The sequence below is a fragment of the Homo sapiens genome, chromosome 12, assembly GCF_000001405.40.
Source record: "Homo sapiens chromosome 12, GRCh38.p14 Primary Assembly".
In the NCBI taxonomy this organism is placed as follows: domain Eukaryota; kingdom Metazoa; phylum Chordata; class Mammalia; order Primates; family Hominidae; genus Homo; species Homo sapiens.
In genome coordinates this window covers 53,232,314-53,250,038 of record NC_000012.12, presented here as the reverse complement: position 1 = coordinate 53,250,038, position 17,725 = coordinate 53,232,314, and the positions used below count along the sequence as shown (strand labels likewise).

The following is a 17,725-nucleotide window of genomic DNA, read 5'->3' as shown; positions in this document are numbered from 1 at the left end:
CTGTTTTGTTCACCTGTATTCCCTATACTTAAAGCAGTCATTGATAAGTATTAATCATAAATATTCCATAAATAGTCTATGAATAAATGAATAAGTTATGTAAATTACTATCAAAAGTACTGGCCCATATTAACATAATAACACTTATCAGTTATTATGTACCTAAGGAGTTTTAAGAAGGTTTAGTCCAACTGCTGTAGGTGAATTATCTCATCTGACTGACAACAATCCATACAGTAGGTACTAACCAGAGTTGGAAAGGTTAGGTAACATGTTTAGAGTTACATAGTAAAAGGCAGTTAGAAGCAGGACCCAATCTTTCCAGTTCCAAGCTCACATAGTTTCTGCAATTATACTAGTTCACCTACTTGCGCAGCAGATCAGTCTTTTTTTTTTTTTATTTGAGACGGAGTTTCACTCTTGTTGCCCAGGCTGGAGTGCAATGGCGTGATCTCAGCTCACTGCAACCTCCGGCTCCCGGGTTCAAGCGATTCTCCTGTCTCAGCCTCCCAAGTAGCTGGGATTACAGGCATGCGCCACCACCCCCAGCTAATTTTGTATTTTTTAGAGACAGGGTTTCTCCACGTTGGTCAGGCTGGTCTCGAACTCCCAACCTTAGGGGATCCGCGCCCGGCCTGTTGGTTTTTTTTTTTTTTTATACTAAAGCTTAGAGGTAGGGTAGGAGGGTTTGGGATTACATCTGGAGAAATACTTTCTTTTGGCCAGGCATGGTGGCTTACGCCTGTAATCCGAGCACTTTGGGAGGCCAATGTGGGTGGATTATTTGAAGTCAGGAGTTCCAGACCAGCCTGGCCAACATGGTGAAACCCCATCACTACTAAAAATACAAAAAGCTGGGCGATAGTGGCACACACCTGTAATCCCAGCTACTTGGGAGGCTGAGGCAGGAGAATCTCTTGAACTCAGGAGGCAGAGGTTGCAGTGAGCCGAGATCATGCCACTGCACTCCAGCCTGGGGGACAGAGTGAGACCCTGTCCCAAAAAAGTCTTGAACTTCTGGCCTTAAGGGTTCCACCCTCCTTGGCCTCCCAAAGTGCTGGGATTACAGGCATGAGCCACCGTGTCCAGCCTGGAGAAATACTTTCTTATGATAAAACAGCTGATTTACGCCCTACAAGTTCCAAAGCGCTTTCATCCCTAGCTGGCAAACTAGTGGAAAGTAGAAAGGGGTGATGGTTCCCATGCTTTCATCTAGAAACACTAAGATAGAAAATCATGATTTCTGACCAGGGGTGGTGGCTTGCGCCTGTAATCCCAGCACTTTGGGAGGCCAAGGTGGGCGGAACTCTTGAAGCCAGGAGTTCAAGACCAGCCTGGCCAACATGGCAAAACCCCATCTCTACAAAAAATACAAAAAAAATAGCCGGGCCATGGTGGTGCATGCCTGTAATCCCAGCTACTCAGGTGGCTGAGGCAGGAGAATCATTTGAACTCGGGAGGTGGAGGTTGCAGTGAGCCAAGATCGCATCACTGCACTCCAGCTTGGGCAACAGAGTGAGACTCTGTCTCAAATAAATAAATAAATAAATAAATCATGATTTCTGCTAGGCTTGGTGGCTCATATCTGTAACCCTAGCACTTTAGGAGGTTGAGGTGGGAGGATCTCTTGAAGCCAGGAGTTTGAGGCCAGCCTGGGCAACTAGGGAGACTCCTGTCTGGGCATGGTGGTGGGTGCCTGTAACCCCAGTTATTCCTGAGACATAGGCAGGAGGATTGCTTGAGCCCAGGAGTTCAAGGCTGCAGTGAGCTCTGATGGTATCACTGTACTTCAGCCTGGGTGACAGAACAAGCCCTGTCTTTTAAAAAGGAAAAAGCAGTGTATGGTGGCTTATGCCGGTAATCCCAGCATCCCAGCACTTTGGGAGGCCCAGGTGGGCAGATCACCTGAGGTCGGAAGTTCGAGATCAGCCTGACCAACATAGAGAAACCCCGTCTCTACTAAAAATACAAAATTAGTTGGGCAGGGTGGCACATGCCTGTAGTCCCAGCTACTCAGGAGGCTGAGGCAGGAGAATCGCTTGAACCTGGGAGGCAGAGGTTGTAGTGATCTGAGATCGCGCCATTGCACTTCAGCCTGGGCAACAAAAGCGAAACTCTGTCTCAAAAAAAAAAAAAAAAAAGGAAAAGGAAAAGAAAAAAGTCATGATTTCCCCAGGGTCACTCAGTAAGTGCCCTCCAGCCCAGTCCTGGGCTTCAGCCCCTTGAACTCATGACAGTGAGTCTCTGAATTCTTTCTTTCTTTTTTTTTTTTTTTTTTTTTTTTTTTTGAGACAGAGTCTTGCTCTGTTGCCTAGGCTGGAGTGCAATTATGTGATCTCAGCTCATTGCAACCTCTGCCTCCCAGGTTCAAGCGATTCTCCTGCCCCAGCCTCCCGAGTAGCTGAGACTATAGGCGTGTGCCACCACGCCCGGCTAATTTTTGTATTTTTAGTAGAGATGGGGTTTCACTGTGTTAGCCAGGATGGTCTCGATCTCCCGACCTTGTGATCCCCCTGCCTCGGCCTCCCAAAGTGCTAGGATTACAGGTGTGAGCCACTGCACCCGGCCTGAATTCTTAGTGGTATTTCCTTTGGGGTGGAGGTCATCCTGGATGAAGGCAGTGGATGAGACAGGATGACCTTACATCCCTTGCCTTCTATTTCACAAGATGGAGGCCAGTTTTCTACCATTATTGCATTGCATTTTGCTCAGAAGCACCTACTAGGGACCAAAAGCAAGATTATATTATTTTGGTTTATTTTTGTTTATTGTAGGACCTATTCAAAATATGTATACTCCTTAAGGTCTCTCTGGCCCCTCAGAGCTGTGAAGCATGGCTGGGAAAGCCCTAAATGTGGGGACTGCGCCAGCAGAGAACTACAGGGGATAAAGGGTGGCCTGGGTGGAGAGGAGAGAGAGCTGGGATCTGTGTGTGGGGAGCCAAAGAGGAAGTCCTGGCTTTCAGGGCAGGTGGGGAGGAAGCTCTGGGAGTTACTGGAAACCATGCTTACCAGAGGAACATCATTTAAAACTCTTTTATTATGGAAATGTTCAAACATACACAAAGGTAGAGAGCATAGTTCTATGAACTTCCATATTCTTTTTTTTTTTGAGACAGGATCTTGCTCTGTCACCCAGGCTGGAGTGCAATGGTGTGATCTCAGCTCACTGCAACCTCCATCTCCCGGGTTCAAGCGATTCTGCCTCAGCCTCCCAAGTAGCTGGGATTACAGGTGCACGCCACCACGCCTGGCTAATTTTTTGTAATTTTAGTAGAGATGGGGTTTCGCCATGTTGGCCAGGCTGGTCTCAATCTCCTGACTTCAGGGGATCCACCCACCTCGGCCTCCCAAAATGTTGGGATTACAGGTATGAGCCATTGCACCCAGCCAGAACTTACATATTCTTTTTTTTTTTTTTTTTTTGAGACAGAGTCTTGCTCCGTTACCCAGGCTGGAGTGCAGTGGTGTGATCTCGGCTCACTGCAAGCTCTGCCTCCCCGGTTCACACCATTCTCCTGGCTCAGCTTCCTGAGTAGCTGGGACTACAGGCGCCTGCCACCACGCCCGGCTAATTTTTTGTATTTTTAGTAGAGACGGGGTTTCACCGTGTTAGCCAGAATGGTCTCGATCTCCTGACCGTGTGAGCCACCCGCCTCGGCCTCCCAAAGTGCTGGGATTACAGGCGTGAGCCACTGCGCCCGGCCCAGAACTTCCATATTCTTAATTCAACAATTACTGATTATTGTCACTCCTTTCTTTCTGTCCTTTTTTCCTTTTCTTTTTTTTTTTTGAGATGGAGTCTTGCCCTGTTGCCCAGGCTGGAGTGCAATGGCGCGATCTCGGCTCACTGCAACCTCCGCCTCCCGGATTCAAGCGATTCTCTTGCCTCAGCCTCCCAAGTAGCTGAGATTACAGGCGTGCACCTCCACGCCCAGCTAATTTTTGTATTTTTAGTAGAGATGGGATTTCACGATGTTGGCCAGGCTGGTCTTGAACTCCTGACCTCATGATCCACCCGCCTCGGCCTCCCAAAGTGCTGGGATTACAGGCGTGAGCCACCGCACCCGGCTCCTTTCTGTCCTTTTATCTCTGCTGAAATATTTAAAATTAAATAGGTCACTTCACTCCATACTTCAGCATACATCTCTAGGAAATAACGACCTTCTCTTCTATAACCCAAGAGCCATTTTTATATCTAACAAAATTAGCACTGCTTCCTTGTTATCATGAATACCCAGTCCATAATTACATATCCCCAACTGTCTTTACAGTTGAGTTGTTCAAATTAGGAACCAAACAAGGTCCATATGTTCCATGTAATAGTTGTCTTCTTAAGTCCCTTCTCATTTTTTTCCCCCAGCCATTCACTAGTTGACGAAATGGGGTCAGATTTCCTTTAGAATGTCCCACATTCTGGGGGTGTTTACCTGCTTCCTTATTGTGTCATTTTATTTGTTCCTCCATTCCCTGTATTTCCTGTTAAATGGAAGTCAGCACTAGAGGTTTGATTAGGTTTATGTTCAATTTTGTTTCTTTGGCAAGATTCCTTCATAGGTGGTGATGAGTGCTTCAGATTGCATCACATCAGGAGGTACACAGTGCCTGGTTGTGTCACTTTTAGTGAAGCTAAGATTCATCCGTGGGTTAGGTTGTGGCAGCTCAATTTCCCATTGTAAAATTCTCCATCACCCATCATCTTTGTTTTCATCCATTAGGCGAGTCTTGCTTTGATCAGTTACTTCATTAGGAGTTACAAAATGGTGATTTTTCTAATTCCGTATTCCTTCCACATTAGCTGGAATTATTCTGTAAATAAGAAGTTGTCTTCACCAATTAGAGCTATTTGGCTATCCTGAAATATAGTTTATACATGCAGGCAGCATAAGTGCTTAATTCTTTTTTTTTTTTTTTCTTTTTCTTGATACGGAGTCTGACTTTGTTGCCCAGGCTGGAGTGCAGTGGCGTGATCTCGGCTAACTGCAGCCTCTGCCTCCTGGGTTCTAGTGATTCTCCTGCCTCAGCCTCCCAAGTAGCTGGGATTACAGCCATACGCCACAATGCCTGGCTAATTTGTGTATTTTTAATAGTGATGGGGTTTCACCATGTTGGCCAGGCTGGTCTCAAACTCCTGACCTCAAGTGATCCACCCACTTCAGCCTCCCAAAGTGCTGGGATTACAGGCATGAGCCACTGCACCCAGCCATTTCTTTTTATTTTTTTAATTGCCAACTTCCAGAATAAGAATTTGGGAGAAGCATCATTAAAAAAGAAAGACAAAAAAGACAGAAAAGAGGCTTGGGCTTAAAGCTGAGCAGGAATGAATAGCCTGGATAGTGAGTGGGGAAAGGAGGGGCTATTCTGGTAGACATGTCTACCCCGGCTCACTCCAGGGCATGGACTGTGTTTCCATGACAGACACTGGTGGAGAGCTCAGTGTTCTGGCCCTTGGGCAGCAATGACAAAGACATGAGACAGGCATAGTGTGCTCTATTGTGCAGGACCCAGAGAGATAGGGAGATGGGGGGATGGGGCAGCATAAAAGCAAACCAGATATGGGAAGGCAGAAAGAGAGATAGGAAGTGAAAAAGCAGCTAGACATAGAAGACAGAAAGAGAGACAAAGAAAGGGAAATAGAAATGGAAGAGATCAAGAATGAAATGTGGTCAGGTGCAGTGGCTTACACCTGTGATCCTAGCACTTTGGGAGGCTGAGGTGGGAGGATCGCTTGAGGCCAGAGGTTTGGGACCAGCCTGGGTAACATAGTGAGACCCTGTCTCTACAATAATTAAAAAAAAAATTATCCAGGAGTGGTGGTGCGTGCCTGTAGTCCGGGATCGCTTGAGCCTGGGAGTTAGAAACTTCAGTGAGCTCTGATTGCACCACCGCATTCCAGCCTGGGCAACAGAGCGAGCCCTGTCTCAAAAAACCAAACAACAACAAAAAACTAACAACAAAACCCAAAAAGAATGAAATGCACCCAGAAGCAGAACAGGACAGAAAAGCAGAGAGATATGAGGGAAAAGGAAAGACCAAGGAAGAAAATAGGCATGAAGACAAGGATTGAGACAAGAGAAGGGGGAAGAAAAACACATATGCTAATTTTTTTAACCTTTCCTATGGTGCTGAAGACATATGTTAAATTGATTTCAAATTAGATAGAGTAATAGAGGGATAGAGAGTGGGGAAAACAGATGTGGTGATACAATTAGGTGAAGGCAAAATGTCCCAGTGACAGAGAGTGAGGAGGAAACAGAAATGAAGAGAGTGAGGTAGAAAGACAGAAGGAAACACAAACAGCTATAAAGACAAGAACGAAAGGAGTCCTAGAGAAGGCAGCTAAGAAAAAGAAGCTTGGAACAGATTAGTACAGGAGCCAGAAAACTGGAGAGACGTGGAGTGGTGCTCAGGGGCTCTCAGCCTAGGAGCTCATCCCAGGCAGATACCAGAGTCTCCCACTTCCAGCTATCTCTTTTTTTTTTTTTTTAAGACAGAGTTTAGCTCTTGTTGCCCAAGCTGGAGTGCAACGGCGCGGTCTTGGCTCACTGCAACCTCCACCTCCCGGGTTCAAGCGATTTTCCTGCCTTAGCCTCCCTAGTAGCTGGAATTACAGGTGCGCGCCACCATGCCCAGCTAATTTTTTGTATTTTTAGTAGAGACGGGGTTTCACTATATTGGCCAGGCTGGTATCGAACTCCTGACCTCAGGCGATCCACTTGCCTCAGCCTCCCAAAGTGCTGGGATTACAGGCATGAGCCACCGAGCCTGGCTCTCAGCTATCTCTTGGTGGCTTGTCTCATCTCCCAGTCCCATCCCTGGGGACAGGAGACTTACAGCTACCTATGTGTGGATGCCATCCTTAGGAGCCTGAGTCAAGGGTTCCCAGCCTCCCTCATCCCTATGCCAGATGAGCCTGGATGTCACAGATGGGATCACTGCTGCAAGATTGAGGTCATGAGGCTGAGTGAGCTCTCAGAGATTTGAAAGACAAGACATCCAGGCAGAGGGTTCCTGGCTAGAAACAAAGGACCACAAAGGATGCCAAGGATTTCCAAGTGGAGGGAGGAACCAAATATCTTCCACTCAGCCTCTTCTTCTGGTCCAAAAGCCACTGACCCTCTCTGCCTGACTCAAGGTGAGAGGTCAGGGATTCAGAGACTCTTGGGTCAATCTTGGGTGTAGGTCAGAGGGAGAAGAAGTGGCCTCTGGACCAGGATACTCCAGCTCCTCTAGAGGAAGAGTCCATTTATTCATGTGAACTGCAGAGGAGACTCCAATGGAGGCTCAGTGGAGAGGAAGAAATGACAACTTGCTCACCTTCAGGGGCCGTGGGGGAGGCTCTGAGAAGAACACCTTCCATTCCAGAGGTTGCAGAGGAAGAGGTTCTGGAACCAGCAGGAGCACATCCAGAAACTAACTTCAAAGCAGATTCCCCCTGCCACCTCTCCAGGACTGGGGAAAGCCAGCTGCCTCTACCTGCTTGAGGGAGGGGTCCAGCTGATCCCTCTCCCACTCCACCCAGCTCCTGCCTCCTTGCCAGGGCAGCAGTACGGAAGTGCTCCAGGAAACTGACAGTCTCCTGGTGGGCAACAGTCCACCTAAATGATCAGACAGCGCCCCCGAGAAGTGCGTTGTTGTCCCCTGAAGCAGCAGCTACAGCAGCCAAGGGAGCCTGGAGGTCCCCAGGCAGCCCCTTGGCCACAGCTACAGCTATCACTGCAGCCTAAACGGGAGCTCAAACAGGCAGCTCGGCTCATGGAGCAAGGGTAAACTGGGCAGGGTGAGGGGTGGCAGCAGGTCAAGGGTGGACCGGAGCATGAGACACAGGAGTTATGGGGACAAGTCAAGGGAGGACAGGCAGGGCAGCGGGGGCAAGAGCAGGTGCAGGGTGGGCCCGGGAGGCTGGGACAAGCGGGGCAGGGAGCTGCACTAGAGGGACAGGCAGTGCAGGAGCATGGGGGTGGGGGACAGCCATGGCAGGGGAAGGCACAGGCAGATGGGGGACAGGACAGACAAGGAGAGCCAGCAGGTGGACCATGCCTGGAGCAGGCAGGAGGCTCTTGGTGGGCAGGCTTCTTATTCCTAGGCCCCAAGCGTAGGCCCAGAGAGAAGTCCATTCAGCTGCAGTTGTGGCCAGGCTGGGGGCTGGGTGAAGGGGAGGACAGGGATGGAGTAGGAGGGGCGGACGGTGGGGGGCAGGATTAAACCTAAGACATGCTGAGCCTTGCTGATCCTGCAGGGAGCTCAGCCCTCCACATCCAGCCCTCCTTTTCCAGCCCTCCCCTTCCAGGCCGGCAAAGCTCTCCTACTACCCCTCTCCCCTGAAAATCCTCCAACAGCACCAGATCAGAACACTTTCTTCAAATATGACATGTACTCCCAGGCCTCCAGTCCTTTGTTCACACTGGTCCTTCTGCTCTGAGTGCCCCTGCTCCCTTCTTCACCTGGCGAGGCCCTGTCATTGCTGAAGTCTTCTCCTTTACTCAATCAAAAAGCATTTCTTGGCCAGGCACGGTGGCTCATGTCTGTAATCCCAGCACTTCGGGAGGCTGAGGTGGGCGGATCACCCGAGGTCAGGAGATCGAGACCAGCCTGACCAACATGGAGAAACCCTGTCTCTACTAAAAATACAAAACTGGCCGGGCGTGGTGGCACATGCCTGTAATCCCAGCTACTCGGGACGCTGAGGCAGGAGAATCGCTTGAACCCGAGAGGTGGAGGTTGCAGTGAGCTGAGATCATGCCATTGTACTCCAGCCTAGGCAACAAGAGCAAAACTTGGTCTCATAAAACCCCAAAAAACAAACAAACAAACAAAATATTTCTTGAGCTCTAGGCCCCTGATGCCTGAGTCTCTCCAACACTAACCTCCAGAGCTGCTGCTTCAGGGACCCCAAACAGCTCCCACAGGGGACTCAGGGAAGCAGCAGCAGGCAATAGCAGTGGCCACAGGAGGGCTCTGAAAGACGGAGTCTGGGATGTAGTTGGGAGCTGGCAGAGGAGGTGGGATGCCTGGGTTCTAGGAATTTCCAGAGAGAGCAAGTCCCAGGTGTGAGTGTGGGGGGTGCTCAACTGTCTCTGGGAGATTGACAACCAGCCTGGTCAACTATTATTTGAGACCTAGTATGCATCAGGCACTGGCCTTGGTAGTGGACAAGATAGTTAAGTTTCCTCTCTTATGGAGTTCCCATAAAAATGAGGAAGTGAGGGGTGGGGTGAGGTGGGGTGGAGACAAAAAGCAAACAGGTAAACATATAACTAAGCTTATTTCAGAGCATGAGAAAGGCTATTTTTTTTTTTTTTTTGAGACAGAGTCTCGCTCTGTCGCCCAGGCTGGAGTGCACTGGCACAGTCTTAGCTCACTGCAACCTCCACCTCCCGGGTTCACGCCATTCTCCTGCCTCAGCCTCCCGAGTAGCTGGGACTACAGGCACCTGCCACCATACCCGGCTAATTTTTTGTATTTTTAGTAGAGACAGGGTTTCACTGTGTTAGCCAGGATGGTCTCAATCTCCTGACCTTGTGATCCACGTGCCTCGGCCTCCCAAAGTGCTGGGATTACAGGCGTGAGCCACCGCACTCGGCCCGAGAAAGGCTATTCTTATCCCAGGGTGATGTGATAAAAAGTGACTCGGAGAGGTGACTCCATCAGAAGTGACAGTTAGACCAGCCCCCAATCAGGTATGACCACCCTTAAGGGCTTTGGGGGAGATGCAGTCTGTCAAACCCTGGCAGAGGAGGCAGAGCTGACCGAGGCTGAATGGAACCCGAGTGGCTGGGTTATGGAGAAAAATAAAGCTGAGAAAGGAATAAGGAAGGCTGGAGGTGGCAATCCAAAATTCAGTGGTCAGGGAAGGTGTCACTGAGCAAAGACCTGAAAGAAGTGAGAGCAAGTCATGGAATTATCTAGTGGGAGAACATTCCAGAGAGTGGGGACAGCAAGTGCCAGGAGCAAAGAGGAGAGTCATAGTGGCACAGGTCAGAGAGTAAGGCAGAGGTCCTACCATGCAGGGTCTTGTGAGACATGGCAGGGACTTGGATCTTATTCCAAGTAAAAAGGGAAAACCAGCCAGACGAGGTGGCTCCCACCTGTAGTCCCAGCACTCTGGGAGGCCGAGGGGAAGATTGCCTGAGCCCAGAAGCTCAAGACTAGCTTGGGCAATATAGTGAGACTGCATTCTCTACAAAAAATTTAAAAAATTATCCGACTTGGTGGCATGAGCCTGTAATCCCAGCTACTCGGCAGGCTGAGGCAAGAGGCAGAGGCTGCAGTGAGCCGAGATCACATCACTGCGCTCCAGCCTGGAGCACGGAGCAAGACCCTGTCTCAAAAAATAATAAAACTAGGCAGGGCGCGGTGGCTCATGCCTGTAATCCCAGCAGTTTGGGAGGCCGAGGCGGGCAGATCACAAGGTCAGGAGATCGAGACCATCCTGGCTAACACAGTGAAACCCCATCTCTACCAAAAATACAAAAAAATTAGCCGGGCGTGGTGGTGGGCTCCTGTAGTCCCAGCTACTCAGGAGGCTGAGGCAGGAGAATGGTGTGAACCCACGAGGTGGAGGTTGCAGTGAGCTGAGATTGTGCCACTGCACTCCAGCCTGGGCGACATAGTGAGACTCTGTCTCAAAAAAAAAAAAAAAAAAAAAAAAAAAAAAGATAATACTAAAACTAAAAATAAAGGCTGGCATGGTGGCTCACGCCTGTAATCCTAGTGCTTTGGGAGGCTAAGGTGAGCAGATAGGTTGAGCTCAGAAGTTCAAAACCAGCCTGGCCAACATGGCAAAACCTCCGTCTCTACAAAAAATACAAAAAATTAGTTGGGCGTGATGGCGCATGCTTGTAGTCCCAGCTACTTGGGGGGCTTAAGCAGGAGGATCACTTGAGTCTGGGAGGTCAAGGCTGCAGTGAGCTGTGTTTGGACCTCTGCACTCCTGCGTGGGTGACAAAGTGAGACTCTGTCTCGAAAATAAATAAATAATAAAAAATAAAAATAAGATAAATGGAAAACCTCTGAGGGTTTTATGCAAGAAATTGTGTGGGTCTTTTTGGCCCTGCGCCTGCTCCTGGTTAGAATGTTCTGCTTCGGCCAGGCGTGATGGCTCACGCCTGTAATCCCAGCGCTTTGGGAGGCTGAGGTGGGCAGATCACAAGGTCAGGAGATCGAGACCATCCTGGCTAACACGGTGAAACCCCGTCTCTACTAAAAATACAAAAAAATTAGCCGGGCGTGATGGTGGGTTCCTGTAGTCCCAGCTACTCAGGAGGCTGAGGCAGGAGAATGGTGTGAACCCAGGAGGTGGAGGTTGTAGTGAGCCGAGATCGTGCCACTGCACTCCAGCCTGGGCAACAGAGCAAGACTCTGTCTCAAAAATAAATAAATAAATAAATAAAAGAATGTTCTGCTTCTTGGCCGGGCACAGTGGCTCACGCCTGTAATCCCAGCACTTTGGGAGGCCGAGGCGGTTACAGTTAAATCACCTGAGGTCAGGAGTTCAAGACCAGCCTGACCAACATGGTGAAACCCCTGTCTGTACTAAAAATACAAAAATTAGCTGGGTGTGGTGGCGGGTGCTTGTAATCCCAGCTACTCAGGAGGCTGAGGCCGAATCACTTGAACCTGGGAGGCAGAGGTTGCAGTGAGCCGAGATGGCGCCATTGCACTCCAGCCTGGGCAACAAGAGCGAGACTCTGTCTCACAAAAAAGAAAAAGAAAAAAGTCCGGGCACGGTGGCTAATGCCTGTAATCCCAGCACTTTGGGAGGCCAAGGTGGGTGAATCACGAGGTCAGGAGTTCGAGACCAGCCTGGCCAACATGGTGAAACCCCGTCTCTACTAAAAATACAAAAAATTAGCTGGGTGTAGTGGCAGGCACCTGTAATCCCAGCTGCTTGGGAGGCTGAGGCAGGAGAATCGCTTGAACCCGGGAGGCGGAGTTTGCAGTGAGCCGAGATCACACCACTGCACTCCAGCCCTGGCAACAGAGTAAGACTCTCTCTAAAAGGAAAAAAAAAGAAAAAGAAAAAGAAAAAAGAAAAAAAATGTTCTGCTTCTTATATAATTGATACAGCCACTTTGGAAATCTATTTGGTGCTATCTGATAAAATTGAACCTGTATATACAGTTTAACTCTTAGTTCTATATCCTAGAAAAACTCCTGCATCTGTGTACTGGGAAACATGTACAAGAATGTTCATGGCTACATTGTTTATAACAGTCCAAACTAAAAACAACTCAAACATTCACCAACAGTAGAATGAAAAAAATAACTTGTGGTATATCCATGCAATGAATACTATGCAATAATAGGAAGACAGCTATGTGTAACAACTTGGATATAGTTCACAAGTTGAACAAAATAAGTAGGAAGCAAAAAGTAATAGAGTATCATTCCATTTATAGAAACTTCAAAAACAGGCAAAGTTGAGCAGTATTGTTTATGAAGGCATACACAGGTGCTAAAACTATAAAGAAAAACAAGTAATTTCTGTGTTTACGATTATTACAAACGTCAGGATTGTAGTTCGTTTTTAGGAGACTGAGGGAATTGTGAAAGGGATGCATGGGGAACTTCTGAAGTATAGGAAATACTCCAGTTTTTGACCTGGATGGCAATGAAGTAGGTATTGACTTTATTCCATTTATTCTGTATACTGTTCATAATATATTTATATACTCTGTACAGAAGGAGGAAATAAAAGTACCGCTTCTTTCTCAGCTCCGTGCCACCTTGTTCAGGTCATTATGCTGATGTTAGAGCACTTCCAAATGCTCGTCTTTCTCACCAGACCTCGAGGACAGTGATCTCTTTATTTCTGGTACCTGTCAGTACCTGGCACATAGCAGATACTCAGTGTTTGCTGAATTGGATTAAATTGAATTTCTCAAGTCTCTCATCCCATAGAGAGGTGGGCAGCTGCAAGAGAAGTGGAAGAACGCTGCTATAGTGAAGAGAGCTCAGGACCACCAAGATCTGGGTTCTCCTCTTAGCTGTGCCACTTCCTAGCTGTGCAATATTGAGCAAGTCACTTAACCTCTCCAGTTCTTACTCCCTGCTCTGTTAAGTGGGGATGAGATAATGTACATGTCTAGCACAATACATGGCACATAGTAGGTGCTCAATAAAAGATGGCTTCTCCACAGCCCCCTCCCCCAGCTCCACATCTTTTCTTCAAAGGAGTCCACCAGAAGGGGCAGCCAGACACCAAAGGGTGGGCTGGAGCACAGATGTAGTTTGGTCAAAGGCTGGCAGACAGGGAGATCTAACTGAAGCTGAATAGAACCCAGGCAGTTGGTGGGAGTTGGCAGGGGAAGCAGGATGCCTGGGTTCTGGGAGTTTCCATCCAGGGGAAGTCCCAGGTGTGGGTGTGGGGGTGCCAGGCTGGCCCCACCCAACACTCTGGCCCCAGGGGATGTGGGCACAGGGAGGAAAGTGGGTCACAGCAGGGCTGGGACTTAACCCCATTGGTTCCATGACCTCTTTGCTGGCTCTAGAGGAGGCACAGTCACAAAGAGGTCTGCTCCCTCTTTCAAGGGGCCCCCAATTCCTTTTCAAAAGGAAGAGACTTGGAACTTTTGTGTCTGGGTAGGAGGAATTGGAAGCTCTCCAGTGGACAGGGGAAAGAGAACCCCGTATCCCCTGGATGGAGATTCTGTGCAAAACAGACAGCTACATCCACCCACACACTGGCTGGCAGACACCTGTAGCACTCGCCTCACACACACTCCAGGCAACTGTGGAGGCAGACGTGCTAGCTCCAGGGAGTGGGACAGGTCAGGGCTGGATCGGGGGAGTGGGGGCATGGTAGAGCAGGCTCAGAGGAGAAGGCCTTCTGTCTGGTGAGGCTCCAGCTGGGCAAATGCAGGAATCCCTCACCCTGGAGGATTTGCCAGCATGGGGCCTTGTTTTCCATAGTATAATCTCAAGTCTCAGCCTGTGAGTCGTCTTCCCTCTCTGTCTCTGTTTCCCTTTCTGGAGGAAATGAATGCATTCAGGTATCTCAGCGTCCTGCTATGACCACAAGGAGGTACTTACCATCCCTCCCTTTTGGCATATTGAAATCCAAGCACGTCACAGGAATGGAAGGCCCCTCTTTTTTGGGGGCAGGGGGAGCAGACTGGCTGAGGGCCAGGACATCAATTCCAGGGCCTTTGCACATACTCTTGAGCAGCACATATATTTCACTGCCCTTCCTTCTCTCTAATCTCCCTCATTTTTTCTCCGAAGACTTTCCTGATCTCCTTGGCGGAGAATACTCCTCTGCTCCATTCTCATGGTCCCTCATGCCTCTCCACACTGATTATTCTAGTTGCAGTTTTGTGGATTATTTGGTTAACAACTGACTCCATCCGACTGTGAACTTGCCAGGGACCATACCTGGGTATTCCCAGAACCTAGCACAGTGCTTATCACATAGTGGATGCCTAATAAAGATTTGTTGAATTAATGCATGGTGCCTGTTCAGGGAAGAAATTCCCAGAGGTGTTTAGGCTAATCCTAAAATCCTGAGCTTCAAAATTAAGTCCTTATTCTATGTGGGGATCTGGGCAGCACTGGGGCTGGTAAGGACCTTCTACACACAAACTCCCTCACCAGGAGAGTCAACGAGCTGGCAAGCAGCAGAATAGGCCTAGTACAAGGGATGGAGTGGAGCAAGCACCAGAGGCAGGGCTGGCACCAGCACTGGCACAGAGCTTGCCTAGGGGGAGGAGGTGGGAGAGGAGAGGAGGAAGGGAAAAGAGAGGACACGTGTTGTACAAAACATGTTTTCATCACGCTCTCCCTGGGTGCCCTGGTCCCCAAGCCCTGACAGCACTTCCATGCCTTAATGATGTCTTTGGGGGCTGCAACACAGCTCCCCCACCACCCCCTATAGTCATCTGCCAGACACCTCTGAGCATGGCATAGGACATCCCCCACACCACCAGATTTGGGCATGGGGAAATGACCTATTCAGTGTCCTGATGCCGGAGGGTTGGGAGGGGGTGAGGGTGAAAATTAGGGTGGGGCAATTTTCATCCTCACCACTGTCCGCCCCCCCAGCATCAGGGCACTGAATAAGTCATTTCCCCATGACTTTCAGGACAGGTGGGACAGATATCTGCATCCTTTTCCTCTCCTCATAATCTCTCCTTTTGGTCTTTGCTCTGGGATGAGGGGAGCAAACAAAGCCTGGTACTAGGGCCCCCAAGATATCATTTCTCCAAGTTGCCAGGGTGACAAAGTAGAGCAGCCACAAACAGAGCAAAGCCTAGAAATAGGGATGACCCAAGGGAAAGAGGAATGAGGGGAGCCCCCTCCACCAGTTTCCAGAGTGGGAAGCCCTCTTCCCAAGCCTCCTCCTGGAATCTCTGGACAGAAAGCTGGCTCTGTTGCAAGCTGGGGAGTGGAGGGTGGGGAGAAGAATCTGAAGCCCTCACAATGCCCCTCTTCCCTGTCCCCCAATCTGCTGCTGCTGTTTGGTTTGACTTCCAAACTGCTGCAGTGAACAGACCCCAGTCACTGGGTCCTGGGGAGGGGCGGTAGAGGGGGCGGGGGTGGAAGCAGTGGCAATCCCAAGGGGAGGGGCCGGCATAGGGCGGGTCTTCCTGGGCATCGCTGCTTGGCTGCTGTCGTCGGCTGGGGACGAGGAGGCCGCCAGAAGGGAGGAGCTACAGTTACCAAGACGGATGGATAGACAAACGCCCACCAGAGACAAAGACCCGGGCAGACAGACAGACAAACCAAGACAAAGGGAGGGCAGAGACAGTTGGAATTCTGACTCCCTCTGTTTTCAGAGGCTACCCCAAGTGTTTTGTCCCCCGATTTAGGCTTCCCTGGCCCCATTTGCTACCTAGATGCACTGTCTCAGAGCTCCAGCTGTAGATCTTTGGGACCAACCCTAAGCCCCTCTACAGAAGGAGAAGGGAAGAGTTCAGAGAGATGATACTCAGCAGGGAGAGGAGAGTGTCACGGGTGGTGCCTGGTTCTGTGTCAGAATGCCTGGCCAAGGAGGGAGTGGTGCCCTTGCCTGGTTCATGAGGACAGGAGGCTCATTCACTGTAAACCAAGTACAGATGTGCTGGAAGGGGGAGGGGGAAATTAGGGCCACATTCCCAAACCACAACTGGGCCCGCCCTCCTCCCACCAGCCACCACTAGGGCAGGGCAGGAGGGGTTAACTTTGCAGCCTCTTGGCAGGAGCCCTGCCACACAGGCGGGGCGCCATCCCACCCCAGCCTGGACGCCTGGGTCCAACTCCCTGACACCCGCCCCTCCCACACTGCTGAGAGCTGCTCCCAGGGTAACCAAGCAAAGTCAACAGCAGCTAGGCCACCTGGGGACGGGACCCTGGAGTATCTATTCCTAGCTCTTCCTATCCCTGGAGTGAAAGAGAGGGCTTGTCTGCACCCCCATTGCCATCTCCCATTCCCTGAGGTAACCACAGCATGCCTCTTCTTTCCCCCATCTCCTTCACCTGACTTTGGCTACCAAAAGCAGCCTTTCCCAGGAGGGAGGACACCTGGCCCCCAGGGGGGAGCAAGGACAAAGCCAAGTAATTCCAGTATGGAAAATGTGACGTGACCCAGGAGTCTGTGTCCCAGGTCCTGGTCACCCTGCGAGCATTGCTGGGGAAGGTACTTTGGGTATGTCTGTCCAGCCTATCAGCCTAGCTCAGACTCTCCCCTTCTCCTCTTTCTCCCTCCCAACTCCAGTCCCCATGGGAGTGTTTGGGATCCGTGCACAGAGCTTGGACTGCAGACCCATTCTTTTCTCTCCCTCTGTCCTCAGTAGAATGCAGAGTGAAACCACTGGGTTCTCTCACTCTAGGGTTGAGAGTCTGTCTATGTTGAAGCAGATAATGCCCCCATCAGACACAGACACTCACTCTCGGCACTGGCATGCGCACGCGCTTGCACAGACACACACACACACACACGCACACACACACACACCCGGAGTCAACAGCATTCATGGCACATCTACCAGGCAGGCAGGCAGGCAGGCCGGTGCTGGCTAGGGCAGACACACACCCTCTGCCTGGGCTTTCTCTCTCACACCCAGCCCAAGGCTCCTCCCACTCCCAGCCACAGTTCCTCCTGCCCTCCTCTCCAGCCTCTCCCCTTCCAAATCCAGGCCTAAAGGTGGGGGACAACTGGCAGCCAGGGACCCAGGCGCCCTAACTCCTGGAGCTTACTCCAGGCAAGATGACAGGGAAGATGTCTGTGAGCCCTGGCCTCAGCACCCCCAGCAACAGCCACTAGTCAACCAGTTTGCTCCTGGGACCAAAGGACTGAGGTGGGCTAGGGGAAGGGAGAGGCTACTTGGATCTGCAGGTGAAGGCTGAGCAAAGAGTAAGGGCAGGAGCATCTATTCTAGATCTGGCATACTCCTGCCCGGCCAATCCAGCACTGGGAGGGAGTGGGTACCGCCCCATTGCCTACCCTGGGGAGGCGCCAGAGACTGGCCTCGCAAGAGTCACAGCCTGGCCACAGACAACTCAACTAGTCCCCCCAAAAGGCAGAAAGGAGAAAAGTGCCAGAGAGAAAAGGTTGGCATCACGGGGCCAGGACACTGACCTCCTCTGCCAGCCGTGCCCGGCCTCCCAGAGGATGGAGTCACGGAAGCCTAGCAAATGGGAAGGGCAGAGACCCAGGCGTCCCGGGCCGCCCCGCCCAGTCCCCCTCCCGCCCACCCATCCCTCCGCCCCCCAGCCCCAGGGCACAGAGGAGGGAGCCGGGCAGGGGC

At 50.5% G+C, this 17,725-nt stretch overlaps 1 protein-coding gene across 1 annotated transcript, besides 2 other annotated features; it reads right to left on the bottom strand.

Moving 5' to 3' along the window:
- Positions 7,316-8,228: an enhancer, noted in NCBI's record as "H3K4me1 hESC enhancer chr12:53635595-53636507 (GRCh37/hg19 assembly coordinates)". NCBI's record gives its function as "activates a minimal SCP1, AML or CMV promoter by ChIP-STARR-seq in naive H9 embryonic stem cells {active_cell/tissue: H9 hESC(naive)}" and the evidence as "EXISTENCE:reporter gene assay evidence [ECO:0000049][PMID:30033119]".
- Positions 7,317-8,139, bottom strand: LOC122455340 (uncharacterized). The gene has a single exon (NM_001395962.1). The coding sequence runs from the start codon at positions 8,114-8,116 to the stop codon at positions 7,598-7,600; it is 519 nt and encodes a 172-aa protein (NP_001382891.1). The 5' UTR covers positions 8,117-8,139; the 3' UTR covers positions 7,317-7,597.
- Positions 17,645-17,694: a silencer, noted in NCBI's record as "silent region_4501". NCBI's record gives its function as "represses an Ori minimal core promoter by ATAC-STARR-seq in GM12878 lymphoblastoid cells {active_cell/tissue: GM12878}" and the evidence as "EXISTENCE:reporter gene assay evidence [ECO:0000049][PMID:35858748]".